This window comes from Homo sapiens, chromosome 20, assembly GCF_000001405.40.
Source record: "Homo sapiens chromosome 20, GRCh38.p14 Primary Assembly".
NCBI classification, from domain to species: Eukaryota; Metazoa; Chordata; class Mammalia; order Primates; family Hominidae; genus Homo; species Homo sapiens.
The window spans coordinates 2,812,494-2,828,054 of NC_000020.11; the positions used below are offsets into that span (position 1 = coordinate 2,812,494).

General features: G+C 54.1%; 2 protein-coding genes across 7 annotated transcripts, besides 2 other annotated features; both read left to right on the forward strand.

Moving 5' to 3' along the window:
- C20orf141 (chromosome 20 open reading frame 141) lies at nt 2,494-3,337 on the forward strand. 2 transcript variants are annotated; one of them, NM_001256538.2, is made up of 3 exons: nt 2,494-2,524; nt 2,659-2,951; nt 3,045-3,337. In NM_001256538.2, exons 2-3 carry the CDS (start codon nt 2,692-2,694, stop codon nt 3,280-3,282), a joined length of 498 nt encoding a protein of 165 aa, NP_001243467.1. In that variant the 5' UTR covers nt 2,494-2,524; nt 2,659-2,691; the 3' UTR covers nt 3,283-3,337. The 2 variants fall into 2 exon arrangements, with proteins under 2 accessions (NP_001243467.1, NP_542777.1); NM_080739.2 differs by having other exon boundaries at nt 2,518-2,951.
- On the forward strand, nt 3,291-7,791 carry TMEM239 (transmembrane protein 239). 5 transcript variants are annotated; one of them, XR_001754107.2, is made up of 3 exons: nt 3,809-3,922; nt 4,014-4,651; nt 4,971-5,237. XR_001754107.2 is itself a non-coding variant. In XM_047439814.1 (2 exons), exon 2 carries the CDS (start codon nt 4,062-4,064, stop codon nt 4,518-4,520), a length of 459 nt encoding a protein of 152 aa, XP_047295770.1. In that variant the 5' UTR covers nt 3,291-3,370; nt 4,051-4,061; the 3' UTR covers nt 4,521-5,569. The 5 variants fall into 5 exon arrangements, 4 of the variants coding, with proteins under 4 accessions (XP_047295770.1, XP_011527430.1, NP_001305136.1 ...); XM_047439814.1 differs by lacking the exon at nt 3,809-3,922 and adding an exon at nt 3,291-3,370 and having other exon boundaries at nt 4,051-5,569; XM_011529128.3 differs by having other exon boundaries at nt 3,442-3,908; nt 4,051-5,569.
- Nucleotides 4,368-4,427: a silencer, noted in NCBI's record as "silent region_12607". NCBI's record gives its function as "represses an Ori minimal core promoter by ATAC-STARR-seq in GM12878 lymphoblastoid cells {active_cell/tissue: GM12878}" and the evidence as "EXISTENCE:reporter gene assay evidence [ECO:0000049][PMID:35858748]".
- Nucleotides 8,801-9,182: a transcriptional cis regulatory region, noted in NCBI's record as "candidate enhancer chr20.196 targeted for multiplex CRISPR interference". NCBI's record gives its function as "positively regulates VPS16 gene expression with high confidence in K562 cells {active_cell/tissue: K562}" and the evidence as "EXISTENCE:mutant phenotype evidence [ECO:0000015][PMID:30612741]".

Sequence of the window (15,561 nt, forward strand, 5' to 3'; positions counted from 1 at the left end):
TAATCATTCAGACCTATACATTTCTATATTAGACATCATTTTGAGGGCATTTATTGTCTTCTAGCTACCAGTATTGGTGTTTAGAAGTGTGATACCATTCTTGCTTCAGATCCGATGTATGTGATGTTTTTATTTGGTGGAAGCTCTTAGGATTGTCTTTTTATCCCTGCTAATGTGAATTTCATTATATGCCTTGATGTTAGCTGCCCTGTTTCATGTATTGGGCTGTGAATTGGTGGAAAGTTATGGTCTAGAGAATCATGTCCTTCAATTCTGAAGAGTCTCTTGATTTTTAAAAATCTTTCCCTTCTGGTCGGGCAGGGTGGCTCACACCTGTAATCCCAGCACTTTGGGAGGCTGAGGCGGTCACATCACCTGAGGTCAGGAGTTTGAGACCAGCCTGGCCGACATGGTGAAACCCTGTCTCTACTAAAAATACAAAAATTAGCTGGGTGTGGTGGTGGGTGCCTGTAATCTCAGTTACTTGGGAGGCTGAAGCAGGAGAATCACTTAAACCCGGGAGGCGGAGGTTGCAGTGAGCCAAGATGGCGCCATTGCACTCCAGCCTGGGCAACAAGAGCGAAACTCTGTCTCAAAAAAAAAAAAAAAAAAAAATAGAAAGAAAGGTTTTCCTCCTCAGAGCACTCCCTCAATAAACCATGTGTACAAGTATCCCCATCTCAGGCTCTACTTTTAGAAATTATGACCCATTGATATAGTCTGAATATTTGTCCAAATCTCAAGTTGAAATCTCAAATCCCAATGTTGGAGGTAGGGCCTGATGGGAGGTGTTTGGGTCATGGGGGTGGATATTTCATGGCTTGGTGCTGTCCTTGAAATAGTGAGTGAGTTCTCTCAAGATCTGGTTGTTTAAGTGTGTGGCAACTCCCCTAACCACCACTCTCTCCCTTGCTCTTCACCCTTTGCCTTCTGCCATGATTGGAAGTTTCCTGAGGTCTCCCCAAAAGCAGATGCTGGTACCCTACTTCCTGTACAGCCTGCAAAACTGCAAGCCAATTAAGCCTCTTTTCTTATAAATTACCCAGTCTCAGGTATTTCTTCATAGCAACGCAAGAATGGCCTAATACACCCACCATCTGGTGCAGTGCCTGGCACATAGGAAGCACTTAAATAAATGATTGTTGAATACAAAATAAACTCTGAGAAAATCACAGACAGAACTCTCCTATACATGCATACAGAGCACCTGGTGCATAGTAAATCTTTAAGGAGCTTTAGACTCTCCGATCCCCCCATGCCCTGCAATATGGAGTAGCCTCATCTTGGTGGACTCATCAGGACATGCTCCCCAGGTCTGTATGTCCAGGAATGCAATTGTGTGGATGCATCCAGGATTGATCAGGCTCAGGGAATTGCCAATCTTAAACCTTAATGTTCCTTTACAAGCACAATTGGAACTTAATGCCAAAAAAAAAAAAATTCTGGGATCTTCTGTTATACCCTATCCCATTACGGACAAATCTACTCGTAAAACCCAGCTGCTGGATAAGCAAGAACAGCCAGACCAAGGGCGATCAGTGCATGGTCATTAGGGCTGGTGACCCTCGTCTCTGGGCAAGGCCTGCTGGAGGTGGATATGCAGCCTGATTCTTGTTCTGTCTCCTCCTCTCCTAGGGGCTGTATGGCCACTGTCTCCCATTTTGCCACCCCTACCAGTTTTCCTTCAAAGTATGATATGTGGGCAAAGATTAAGTTCTCTTAATTATGACACATTTCCGCTCTTGCCTCTCAAGTCACTAAACTGAGATGTGCTGGACCCCTATGGCCACCACCCATTTACAGATGATCAGTGTAATCTGATATACTGATAATCCAAGTGACTAAGCCCTTCATTATATGTTCATTTTCCTTAACTCCATTCTCAGACTGTAACCTTAACCTCTAATAAGGGGGTTACTAGGTCATAGTCCTCTTAAGTTCATGTCCTCTACCTCATTACTGGAACCCCAGTATGCATAACACCCCCTATAAACTGTAGTGCTTAGAATACCTGAACAGCCCCCTCCTCTCTCACCCCCATTTAGCAGGTTATGCGGAAGCCCAGCCCCAGAAGCCTCAGGCAGTCCCCTGGCAGAGCCCATCTCTGCAATCTGGAACTTCAGGCCTGAAAAATCCCCTAGAAGGACCCACAGGGAAGACAGCTGGGGACAGAGATATTGAATGACTTCGCCCTGGACCTGCAGCTCTGCAAACTCACAGGAAGAAGAAAGCAGACCTCGCTCCCTTGGACAGATGCCCAAGTAGTAATGGGGTTAGAATGCCTTCCTGACAACTCAGATCCCCAAGGGAGGGCCCTAGGGCAGAGAATCAGCAAAGGCAAGAGGATGAGTCTTAGTTCTCAGAAATCCCTGACTTCCCAGCTAAGCCCCACCTAGGCCACCAGCTGCTTATGAGGTCAGAGCAGCAGCAGCAGCAGCCCCCTCCCTACCCCACGGCCCCACGTGGTAACAGGTCACAATGCCCCGGGTGCCCACTCCCAGAATGCTGACCAAAGTGGGAGGAGGTGAGGAGGGTTTGCTGGGTGGGTATGGGGGAGGGGGAGACTCTGCAGGAGCCTAATTCCCCACTCTGAGCTCACCCTTCTGTCTGCCCGGGCCCTACCCCTTCCCCTACTCTCACCCTTATAATCCTTTTCAGCACTAGGTCTTCCCGTCACCTCCACCTCTCTCCATGACCCGGCTCTGCTTACCCAGACCCGAAGCACGTGAGGATCCGATCCCAGTTCCTCCAAGGGGCCTGGGTGCTGGGGAGGGGTCAGGTAGTCCAGTGCGTCCACCTGTATCCACCTGGGGCCCTAGCTGGGCCCAGCTCCTGGACAGTGTCCTATGGCTGGGGGCACTAGGACTGACAATCCAGGCAGTCTTTTCCACCACTGGCCCAGCCCTGCTGCTGCTTCTGGTCAGCTTCCTCACCTTTGACCTGCTCCATAGGTAAGTGGGCAGCAGCCTGGCAGGTGGGCATTGTAGGCGGGCGGGCCAGTGGACAACTTCCCTAAGCCCAGTCACCACCCTCTCTCTCCACAGGCCCGCAGGTCACACTCTGCCACAGCGCAAACTTCTCACCAGGGGCCAGAGTCAGGGGGCCGGTGAAGGTCCTGGACAGCAGGAGGCTCTACTCCTGCAAATGGGTACAGTCTCAGGACAACTTAGCCTCCAGGACGCACTGCTGCTGCTGCTCATGGGGCTGGGCCCGCTCCTGAGAGCCTGTGGCATGCCCTTGACCCTGCTTGGCCTGGCTTTCTGCCTCCATCCTTGGGCCTGAGAGCCCCTCCCCACAACTCAGTGTCCTTCAAATATACAATGACCACCCTTCTTCATCAGGCCCCCTTTTCTCCTTCCTGGCTGGGCAGGTGGGATGATACCCCTTTCTTCCCAGCCTGAACCTCACAGTCCTATAATATAGGTATCAGATACCTGGATCTGAGTCTTTGGGCAGCAAGAGAAGGTAGGATACTAGCCAGGGAGCCCAAGGAAGAATGTGGCAGCCACCTCAGAGCCTGTGGATTGGGGGCAGCCACTCTGGCCTCCTCTGTGGCTCTAGAGAATGAAGGTCCAGACAGAAAGACTTGCGAGAGAGCAGTTTGGAAAGGGGTGGATATCAGCCAGCAGGGAAAGCAGGAAAGGGACAGGGATCCAGGGAGGGCTTCCCATGAGAAAGCATGAGAAACTACATCTGCGGGGCTCCGAGGCTCCCCTGCCAGCCTGGAGGGTCCGTGCAGAGGGACTTGGGTGGGCCTCACACCCTACAGTGACTCCTCTCTTGGCTGGACCCCACCCCAGCCCGGGTCACAAAGGGGCTCCTCTGGGGAGGGTGGGGGTAGATGAGAGTGGGGACTTGGATCTGCCTGCCAGGCCGTCCTGGGCGCTGCAGGAAGCAACATGACTTAGGTAACTGCCCAGAGGTAAGTCCCAGTCCCTAATTCTGTAGCCCCACCCCACGCACACTGGTGCCCTCCTGACCCCTGCACCCCCTCTCTGCCCCCCCCCCCCAAGGTCCCAGGCATCTTCAAGACCCTGGCCCTCTCCCCAGGTGCACCAGACATGATGCAGCAGCCGCGAGTGGAGACAGATACCATCGGGGCTGGCGAGGGGCCACAGCAGGCAGTGCCCTGGTCAGCCTGGGTCACGAGGCATGGCTGGGTGCGCTGGTGGGTGAGCCACATGCCCCCGAGCTGGATCCAGTGGTGGAGCACCTCGAACTGGCGGCAACCGCTGCAGCGCCTGCTGTGGGGTCTGGAGGGGATACTCTACCTGCTGCTGGCACTGATGTTGTGCCATGCACTCTTCACCACTGGCTCCCACCTGCTGAGCTCCTTGTGGCCTGTCGTGGCCGCGGTGTGGCGCCACCTGCTACCGGCTCTCCTGCTGCTGGTGCTCAGTGCTCTGCCTGCCCTCCTCTTCACGGCCTCCTTCCTGCTGCTCTTCTCCACACTGCTGAGCCTTGTGGGCCTCCTCACCTCCATGACTCACCCAGGCGACACTCAGGATTTGGATCAATAGAAGGGCAACCCCATCCCACTGCCTGTGTCTGTTGAGCCCTGGCCTAGGGCCTGAGACCCCACGGGGAGAGGGAGGGCAATGGGATCAGGGCTCCCTGCCTTGGCAGGGCCCAGACCCCTAGTCCCTAACAGGTAGACTGGCCTGACCCCGGACTCCTTCCTCAAGTCAATGCTGCAGGTTCCTGGTGTGAGGGGCTGGGGGCTTTGAGAAGAGGGGGCAAGACAGATGGCTTAGCCATTGGTGAAAATTGCTTAGCCAGGGGCAGAGCTTGACCAAGCCACTGATAGCGCCCATATGGATGTGATGATACCCGTGGGGCCCCCTTGGCAACTGACAGCATCTTTTTCTCATAGCCACTCAGCTGTCTCAGCTTCAGACTCACTGAGAACTTCTACCTGGGTACCACTGGCCTTGCCATTCCTCCCACCAATCCCCTCTTTCCACTTCCAGGAGAACCACAGACTCTAGAGAGGGTCCCAGTGACAAAAATCTATCAGGGAGAAGGCTGGCCAGAAGCCCCAGGAGACCTCAACTCACTCGCTCTCCAAACCTTGCAGCCCACGCATCCTCCTCCCTAGACTTCCTACTTCCTGCCTCAGTCTGCATCCCCAAGTCTGAGAAATGGGCCAACTGGGGTCAGACAGCACCTACTCACTCTCTAAGAATCCCAAGGTCTGTTATGGAAAAATGATCAAGAAATCCCATTTCACCCACTTACACAATGTGTGGCCTTGGCCAATTAATTCATTTGAGCCTCAATGTTACGTGGGCCACTTCTGTCATGGGGTTGTTGTGAGTCAAAGACAATATCTATTTGTGAAGCATTTTGTAGAAGCCAAAAACCTGTAAGATGTTGTTTTGAGCTCTAAGAACTTTCTGTAGGCGCATAAGATCTTTTGACCCCAAAGACTGTTGAAGGAACAGGAAGCTTCTCTGGGCTTTCAGATCAACTCTCTGTCCTGGATAGAATTTTGGCCCTAAAATGGTAAACAAGAGGTCGGTTAAGTGTGTACAAGATGTAAAAGGTCATGTGCCATGAAATCTCAAAATGTGCAGATGTTGAACTATTTTGATTATGAAATGCTTGGGCCTGGGGCTGGGTGCCAGATGCTTGCACAGCTGTGTGAGTGGGGACAGCACAGCCCCAGGGTTTCCAAAACTGACCCAGCAAGCCGCTCAGGCACCAGAAGGGCTTTGGAAAGGGCAATCCTTTGATGCCCTGAATGCTGGCCGTTCGTTCACTTGCTGGCCCCTCCAACAAAACATTGAGTGATCGGTAATTACCAAGTAAGGTACATGATAGACAACTTTATCCACACCTGACCCCCACCCAAGCCCTGGCCATCCCCAACTCCTGCCCAGTTCTGATCCCTGCTTTATGTATAACCCTAAAATCCTTGCTCTTGAAGCCCCAGACCCAAGGTCCCCCTCTTTTGTCCCATAAATACTCAGGGCCTTGGGGCTAGCCCCTAGAACCCTGGTTCATTTTTGCCTTAGACTTTTGCAACCCTCCATGCCACGGATTAGATGCCTTCAGCATCAGTGCCAAAACCCAAGGTCCAGTCCTTCCTTTCTGTTTCTTTGTATTTCTCCCGCATTATGGCATGGTAGTGAGAGCGAGGTAGGACATGGGGCTGATGTGGTCTCATGGTTGGATGGGTTTTGGTGCATGAGCTGAGGCTGGGCGTGAGTCCCAGCACTCTCACTTACTAACTCCATGCCCTTAGTGGAAATCGCTAAACCTTCCTCAACTTCACTTTCCTCATGGGTAAAACTAAGGCAAGAACCCCTGTCTTAGGGCTCTGGCATGTGAGTGAAGGACCTGGGACCACTCCTAGCACCACAAATTATAGCTATGCTGTGACCATCCCATTTTAGAGATGAGAAGTCAGGCCCAGGATAGCCAGTTGCCAGTGGCAAGGCCAGGCCATCTGAGTCCTACCAGGCTACTCAAGGGAAGGTGAAGGGGGCAAAGGAAACACAAACAACCTAACTAACTGAAGACCCCAAGGCTTCTCAAGAGCTCCTATCAGAGCTAAAGCCCAGGCCTAGGGAAGTCATGAGTCAAGCCAATCTAGATGGCAAGCTGAGGATTCAGGATCCCATGTGGTGAGGGCAGAGACCAGGCTGCCTGGCCTAGATCCATCATTGACTTGGCCATGCATTGCTAGCCAGGGACGTTGCTCTGGAGCCTTGGGTCCATTCCAATGAAGGGAGAGAGGAGTTTGGGGCCCTGACCAGATGCTCTAGTGGATGGGATGTGGGCAGCAGCAAGGAGAAGACCTTCTTCCTTTCCCCACAGACTATATACCTTTTACCCTCCTGCCCAGCTGGTATGGGGTAAGGAGGTGCACCCAGACTAGAGAGCTGATGGGCAATACTCATCAAATTAGATCCACATATACCCTAGGACCCAGAACCCCAGAATGAATTTTCACAGAGGTCCATAAGGGCCTTGCCCCTCAAAATGTAGTCCCAGAATCAGCAACACAGGCATCACCTGGAAGCTGGTTGGAAATACAGTCTCAGGCCCTGCTCCAGACAGGCCGAATCAGAGTCTGCATTTTTTTTTTTTTTTTTTTGAGACAGAGTCTTGCTCTGTTGTCCAGGCTGGAGTGCAGTGGTGCAATCTCGGCTCACTGCGCTCCACCTCCCAGGTCCAAGCAATTCTCCTGCCTCAGCCTCCTGAGTAGCTGGGATTACAGGCGCCTGCCACCGAGTCCGACAAACTTTTGTATTTTTAGTAGAGACAGGGTTTCACCATGTTGGCCAGGCTGGTCTTGAATCCCTGACCTCAGGTGATCTGCCCACCATAGCCTCCCAAAGTGCTGGGATTACAGGCGTGAGCCACCGTGCCTGGCCAAGAGCCTGCATTTTAACAAGATTCCCAGGTGATACATTGTACCCTGTTTGAGAAGTGAAGCATAAGGGGGTATTATGAGAATGCCTATTGCACTGTTACTAGTGGGAGCAGGATAGGTAAAGGGAAGGGTAAAACAAGGCAGATGGGCCCAAGGGGCAGTAATTAGAAGGGGCAGAAGGTACATGAACCAATCTTAAAATCTTAGCATTGAAAAAGAAATGGAATGAGAATACAATTCCTCTTACACAAATTTAAAAGCATGTCAGCAAAACAAGACAATTTTTGGCAAGAACACATAAAAACGAAAGATAAACAGAATGGAATGGACAACTCTAGGGGCAGGCAAGTGGGAGTAGGGTATAGAGATAACAGGCAATAAAGCTAGAGAGCTTGCAGAGGCGAAACGTGATACCATCAACGTAATTCCTGAAATTCCTTTAAAAGTAGAAAAAGAAGTCCATTTAGAGTTAAAAGGCTTAAAAATGCAAGTCTGGGGAGAATGGGCATGGTGGAAGCCCTTCGGTTTGGGCCAAGAAGGGCGAGCCTTCCTATCGGCCTGTGTGTGACCTGGGCTGCTGGGTGGATGTGTTTGCCGGCCCTCCCCCACCGCACCCCGCAGGCTGCTCTCATGGGATTGGACTGTGGGCCGGGGATCCAGCAACAACTTCGGCCTGGCCGGAAAAATAAAGTCAAGGAGAGCATAAGGAACCGGAGCGGAGGCGGTGTCAGCGAGAGGGGCCTTGCGTCTCAGGAGAGGGGGGATCTACAGCGGTGCACACATGTGCTGGGGGATACCTGGGGTAGGGCTTCCCTCCGCCCCTAGGAACAGGGAAGGCGGCGTCAGGGGGCGCAAGCTGCTGAGGGGTACCCCTTCAAGAGATGGAGCGCCAGTGGCCACTCAGGAAAGGAGAGGGGTCCCCGAAAGGAAGAAGCCGTGCGACACCCAGGAACCTCCAAGGGCCAGCTGCGGGACATCGCGAGGGGGGCGCTGTCCTTTAGACTCGTGGGTGCAGAGAAAGGGGGAGGCTAGGAGAGGCCGAGTGGGGCTGGGGGTGGGGGAGGGACAGCCGGCCACAAGGCATGAGGGAGGAGACAGGGTCGTCAGGGAGGGGAAGGACGCCTGTGCGGCGCGCGCTAGACCAAGGCCCGGGGGCAGGGACAAGGCCATCGAAGCCGTGGTCACAGACGCGCCGGGAGGGAGGGGGCCACGTCGGGCGGCATGCGTTGAGGCGACAGGAGCGCCTGGTCAGACAGCAGCTGCTCTGAGGCGGGGGAAGGCGTGGTGGGGGGTCCCCTGCGGTGGGAACCCTGCGAGGACACCCGGGCCCAGGCGCGCGGAGCGGGGCGAGGGCGGCAGCTGGAGGGCGTCGAGGCCGGAGCGATGACCCTCGGGCAGAGGGGGACAGGCCAGGGTCTGAGGCTGGGAGAGAAATCCCAAGCCCGGCCCGGTTGGGAGGCCGTGGGCATCCACACGGGGCATGTGCTGGCGGCCCTGAAGCGCCGATGTCCCCGGACTCGCCGCACGCGGACTGGGGACCGACAGCGCGCAAGGAGAGCCCTCTGGCTCTGGCAACGAAGGGGCGGGCTTGGCGGGGGTGGGAGGAGAGAGCGCGGGGAGGGGTGTCCCACAGGCTAAGACTCCAGCACTCGGGGAGGGGCGGGAGGGTAAGAAGAGGGATCTTAGGGCCACTGTCATCACAGTGGCAGCTTCGTTGACTCTCACCCCTTGCCCCAAATCGCCGGCCTGCCGCCACTTCCCCTCACTAGAGACCCCTAGGCGTCGACGGCAGAGTTCCTGAGAACCCTGGAGAAGGAACGGCCTGATACTGAGCTGGGACTCCGACTCCTGGAACAGCCTGAGCCTGATATTATCCGATGCCCCTGAGGTAAAGAGCTGTCATTTGTGAGGATCTGACAGGGTCTGGATGCAGCCACCTTTGGACAAGTTTTTTGGTTTGTTTGTTTTTGTTTTTTTTCTGCTGAGCATTTTCATCTATATTCTGGAGCTCATACTTGCATCCTTTGTACTGATTCTGTTACCGACCCTCAAGGGGGTATTTGATCCCAGTGGGGTTTTTTCCCTGCTTGGTGCCGTTCATGCCAATAGACTGAGACCAGGTTCGGTTAAGCAGAGCAGAAACTTTATCATTGATCAAGGAATGGAGAAGGGGAGCCTGTGCTCAAAGCACCTTCTTGGGGCGGGGGGGTGGGGGGGTGGGAGTAGGGCGAAGAGGGATTTGTAAGATGTCTTAGGGCAGTAGGCAGAGCCTGGGGGCGGGGATTCCTGGAAAGATAGGGCTTTCCAGGGAGAACTGGAGTGTGTGCAGTCTCTCCTTCACTCCAGCACTGCATGTGCCCCGGCAAAGTGCACCTCCACCCCCAATCCCCCAACCCCCCAGGGCGGAGATTTCAATGTGGTAATGAGGTGAAGATTCAGGTCAGGGTAGCACTGCTGAGCTCCCTTCTCATCTTGTGGCTTGTTTGTGGTTACTGGCTTCCAGCCTCCATTTTTTAAAGCAAGCACAGCTGTGAACACTGGTTAATTTCACAGGTTTTGGGGCTTGCTGAAAGACTTGGGGTTACTCTGCAGTGACAATTCCCTACCTTGAAAATATTTTCCATCTTAAAAGAACTTGATTTGCTCTCCCTCTCCCGTCTCCCTCTCCCTCTCCCGTCTCCCTCTCCCTCTCCCTCTCCCGTCTCCCTCTCCCGTCTCCCTCTCCCGTCTCCCTCTCCCTCTCCCGTCTCCCTCTCCCTCTCCCGTCTCCCTCTCCCTCTCCCGTCTCCCTCTCCCTCTCCCGTCTCCCTCTCCCTCTCCCGTCTCCCTCTCCCTCTCCCGTCTCCCTCTCCCTCTCCCGTCTCCCTCTCCCTCTCCCGTCTCCCTCTCCCTCTCCCGTCTCCCTCTCCCTCTCCCGTCTCCCTCTCCCTCTCCCGTCTCCCTCTCCCTCTCCCGTCTCCCTCTCCCTCTCCCGTCTCCCTCTCCCTCTCCCGTCTCCCTCTCCCTCTCCCGTCTCCCTCTCCCTCTCCCGTCTCCCTCTCCCTCTCCCGTCTCCCTCTCCCTCTCCCGTCTCCCTCTCCCTCTCCCGTCTCCCTCTCCCTCTCCCGTCTCCCTCTCCCTCTCCCGTCTCCCTCTCCCTCTCCCTCTCCCTCTCCCTCTCCCTCTCCCTCTCCCTCTCCCTCTCCCTCTCCCTCTCCCTCTCCCTCTCCCGTCTCCCTCCACGGTCTCCCTCTGATGCCGAGCCAAAGCTGGACGGTACTGCTGCCATCTCGGCTCACTGCAACCTCCCTGCCTGATTCTCCTGCCTCAGCCTGCCGAGTGCCTGCGATTGCAGGCGCGCGCCGCCACACCTGACTGGTTTTCGGTTTTTTTTTGGTGGAGACGGGGTTTCGCTGTGTTGGCCGGGCTGCTCTCCAGCTCCTAACCGCGAGTGATCTGCCAGCCTCGGCATCCTGAGGTGCCGGGATTGCAGACGGAGTCTCGTTCACTCAGTGCTCAGTGGTGTCCAGGCTGGAGTGCAGTGGCGTGATCTCCGCTCGCTACAACCTCCACCTCCCAGCCGCCTGCCTTGGCCTCCCAAAGAGCCGAGATTGCAGCCTCTGCCCGGCCGCCACCCCGTCTGGGAAGTGAGGAGCGTCTCTGCTTGGCCACCCATCGTCTGGGATATGAGGAGCCCCTCTGCCTGGCTGCCCAGTCTGGAAAGTGAGGAGCGTCTCTGCCCGGCCGCCATCCCATCTAGGAAGCGAGGAGCGCCTCTTCCCGGCTGCCATCCCATCTAGGAAGTGAGGAGCGTCTCTGCCCGGCCGCCCATCGTCTGAGATGTGGGGAGCACCTCTGCCCCACCGCCCTGTCTGGGATGTGAGGAGCGCCTCTGCTGGGCCGCAACCCTGTCTGGGAGGTGAGGAGCGTCTCTGCCCCGCCGCTCCGTCTGAGAAGTGAGGAAACCCTCTGCCTGGCAACCGCCCCGTCTGAGAAGTGAGGAGCCCCTCCGTCCGGCAACCACCCCGTCTGGGAAGTGAGGAGCGTCTCCGCCCGGCAGCCACCCCGTCCGGGAGGGAGGTGGGGGGGGTCAGCCCCCCGCCCGGCCAGCCGCCCCGTCCGGGAGGTGAGGGGCTCCTCTGCCCGGCCGCCCCTACTGGGAAGTGAGGAGCCCCTCTGCCCGGCCAGCCGCCCCGTCCGGGAGGGAGGTGGGGGGGTCAGCCCCCCGCCCGGCCGGCCGCCCCGTCCGGGAGGTGAGGGGCGCCTCTGCCCGGCCGCCCCTACTGGGAAGTGAGGACCCCTCTGCCCGGCCAGTCGCCCCGTCCAGGAGGGAGGTGGGGGGGTCAACCCCCCGCCCGGCCAGCCGCCCAGTCCGGGAGGGAGGTGGGGGGTCAGCCCCCCGCCTGGCCAGCCGCCCCGTCCGGGAGGTGAGGGGCGCCTCTGCCCGGCCGCCCCTACTGGGAAGTGAGGAGCCCCTCTGCCCGGCCAGCCGCCCCGCCCAGGAGGGAGGTGGGGGGGTCAGCCCCCCGCCTGGCCAGCCGCCCCATCCGGGAGGGAGGTGGGGGGGTCAGCCCCCCGCCCGGCCAGCCGCCTCGTCCGGGAGGGGGGAGGGGGGGTCAGCCCCCTGCCCGGCCAGCCGCCCCGTCCGGGAGGGAGGTGGGGGGGGTCAGCCCCCTGCCTGGCCAGCCGCCCCGTCCGGGAGGTGAGGGGCGCCTCTGCCCGGCCGCCCCTACTGGGAAGTGAGGACCCCTCTGCCCGGCCAGCCGCCCCGTCCGGGAGGGAGGTGGGGGGGGTCAGCACCCCGCCCGGCCAGCCGCCCCGTCCGGGAGGGAGGTGGGGGGATCAGCCCCCTGCCTGGCCAGCCGCCCCGTCCGGGAGGTGAGGGGCGCCTCTGCCCGGCCGCCCCTACTGGGAAGTGAGGAAACCTCTGCCCGGCCAGCCGCCCCGTCCGGGAGGGAGGTGGGGGGGGTCAGCACCCCGCCCGGCCAGCCGCCCCGTCCGGGAGGGAGGTGGGGGGATCAGCCCCCTGCCTGGCCAGCCGCCCCGTCCGGGAGGTGAGGGGCGCCTCTGCCCGGCCGCCCCTACTGGGAAGTGAGGACCCCTCTGCCCGGCCAGCCGCCCTGTCCGGGAGGGAGGTGGGGGGAACAGCCCCCCGCCCGGCCAGCCGCCCTATCCAGGAGGTGAGGGGCGCCTCTGCCCGGCCGCCCCTACTGGGAAGTGAGGAGCCCCTCTGCCTGGCCAGCCGCCCCGTCCGGGAGGGCGGTGGGGGGGTCAGCCCCCCGCCCGGCCAGCCGCCCCATCTGGGAGGTGAGGGGCACTTCTGCCGGGCCGCCCCTACTGGGAAGTGAGGAGCCCCTCTGCCCGGCCACGACCCCGTCTGGGAGGTGTGCCCAGCGGCTCATTGGGGATGGGCCATGATGACAATGGCGGTTTTGTGGAATAGAAAGGCGGGAAGGGTGGGGAAAAAATTGAGAAATCGGATGGTTGCTGGGTCTGTGTGGATAGAAGTAGACATGGGAGACTTTTCATTTTGTTCTGTACTAAGAAAAATTCTTCTGCCTTGGGATCCTGTTGATCTGTGACCTTATCCCCAACCCTGTGCTCTCTGAGACATGTGCTGTGTCCACTCAGGGTTAGATGGATTAAGGGCGGTGCAAGATGTGCTTTGTTGAACAGATGCTTGAGGGCAGCATGCTCGTTGAGAGTCATCACCACTCCCTAATCTTAAGTACCCAGGGACACAAACGCTGCGGAAGGCCGCAGGGTCCTCTGCCTAGGAAAACCAGAGACCTTTGTTCACTTGTTTATCTGCTGACCTTCCCTCCACTATTGTCCTATGACCCTGCCAAATCCCCCTCTGCGAGAAACACCCAAGAATGATCAATAAAAATAAAAAAAAAAAAAAAAAAAAAAAGAACTTGATTTAACATCTGTTGGTTCTGTCATATTTTCCAGGTTGCGTCTTCAAATGTCTTGCCCCCAAAATACCAGTTTTTAAAATTAATACGTGATATTGTATCCTTGCAAAATATTTGTAACATGTATGAAAGTTATGAACCTCTCTAAACCAAGAGACCACATCAATCTAAAAGACAGATGTTATCAGGTTAGGGCCTCTTCCTGTGTGCTCCTCATCTTACTGTGCAAGCTGGGATTCCTGGACAATGGCAAATTGAACTGCTCTTCACAGATATCTTTGACTTGATATTGATTTAAAATGAACTGCTTGCTTCTAAGTTTCCACCATTAAGAATTATGTACATTGTTGTAGATTTCTGGTAGTTAACTTTTATTCAGTTAAAGAAATTCCTTTCAAGACCTAGTTTACTAACAATTTTGGTCAAGAATGGATGTTGAATTATAAAATTGCTTTTTCTATGTCTATTATGAGAACTATTCTACTGTATTCTGTTTATTCAGTGAATTACATTCTTGTTTCTTTTATTAAACTGGTTTTATGGTTGTTTTGTTTTGTTTGAGATGGAGTCTCTCTCTGTCGCCCAGGCTGGAGTGCAGTGGCATGATCTCAGGTCACTGCAACCTCTGCCTCCTGAATTCAAGCGATTCTCCAGCCTCAGTCTCCCAAGTAGCTGGGACTACAGGCACCCATCACCATGCCCAGCTAACTTTTTGTATTTTTTTCTTGTTGTTATTGTAGAAACAGAGTTTTGCCATGTTGCCCAGGCTGGTCTCAAACCCCTGGACTCAAGCAATCCACCTGCCTTGGCTTCCCAAAGTGCTTGGGTTACAAGTGTGAGCCATGGTGGCTGGCCAGTTTGTTCTTTTTCTTTTTTTATTAGTGTGTACAATTCCATCGTACGAAAATACAATAATTTATCCGTTCTCTTGTTGATGAACATTTGGATTGTTTCCAGGTTTTGGCTATCAATAAAACATCTACGAATATTTTTAAGTCTTTCAGTGGACAGAGTCACTCATTTCTTTTGCACCAGAATTGTTGGGTCATAAAGTATGCAAATGTTCAACTTTAGTAAATGTTGCCCAATCATCTCCAAAGTTGTTATATCAATTTATATCAATTTCCACTGCTTTTTTGCAACCTGTCCACCTAATTTGTTTGGAGTTTCTGCTCTCCAAGGTCTCATCAGACATGATATTTGCATTTCTATTTCTCATTTTCACTTGCTTGGGTGATTTCTTACAGGAAGAGGAAATACTATATCATCTTCAAACTGCACAACCTCTTTCCTTTTAAAAACCAGGAATGCAAGTTTGGTTTAACATCCAAAAAACAACTAATGTAATCCACCAAATTATAAAAAAAAAAAACCCAAATGATCATTTCAATAAATGCAGAAAAGGCATTTGACAAAATACAACATCTATTCCCAATAAAAGCTCTCAGCAAACTAGGAATAAAAGGAAATATTCTCAACTTGACAGAAGGCATCCATGAAAAATCTGCAGCTAGTATCATGGTAGTAGTATCAGCTACTTCACTGTGGAAAAACTGAATACTTTCCACCTAAGATCAGAAACAAGAATGTCCACTCTCACTACTTCTATTCAATGTTGTACTAAATGTCCTAGCCACTGCAATAGCACAAGAAATATAAATAAAAGGCATACAGATTGGAAAGCAGTAAGTAAAACTGTCTTTATTGGTAGACAAAAGAATCATATATGTAGAACATTCAAAGAAACCTATAAAAAAGTTATCAAAACGAAGTGAATTTAACAAGGTAGTTAACATGTGTACACAGTCATGATTGTGATATAAGGTCAATATACAAAAATCAATTGTATTTCTCTGTACTTGCAATGAACAATCAGAATAGAAAAAATTTTAAAATGACTACTTCCAAGAATAGAAAAATATGAAGCACTTAGGGGTAAATCTGACAAAATATGTGAAAGACCTGTACACTGAAAACTACAAAGTACTGCTGAGAAAAATTAAAGACCTAAATAAGTCGAGAGATATACTTTGTGCATGGGGTCAGATATAGGTCAGACATATTGTTAAGATGTCAATTTCCCCCAATTTATCTATATATTCAATACAATCGCAATCAAAATCCCAGCAGCATTTTTATAGGAATAACAAGCTGATTTTAAAACTCATATGGAAATGTAAAGGACCTAGAATAGCCAAAATAACTTTGATAAAGAACAAAGTTGAGGCCGGGCACGGTGGCTCACGCCTATAATCCTAGCACTTTAGGAGGCTGAGGCGGGCA

What these genes read in the sequence shown, in the direction of transcription:
- C20orf141 (NM_001256538.2), top strand. Translation starts at nt 2,692, where the DNA reads ATGACCCGGCTCTGCTTACCCAGACCCGAAGCACGTGAGGATCCGATC. An exon ending in ACCTTTGACCTGCTCCATAG is followed by an intron (nt 2,952 to 3,044) that starts GTAAGTGGGCAG and finishes CTCTCTCCACAG; the next exon opens with GCCCGCAGGTCACACTCTGC.
- TMEM239 (NM_001318207.1), top strand. Translation starts at nt 3,842, where the DNA reads ATGAGAGTGGGGACTTGGATCTGCCTGCCAGGCCGTCCTGGGCGCTGC. An exon ending in ACTTAGGTAACTGCCCAGAG is followed by an intron (nt 3,923 to 4,013) that starts GTAAGTCCCAGT and finishes CCCCCCCCCAAG; the next exon opens with GTCCCAGGCATCTTCAAGAC.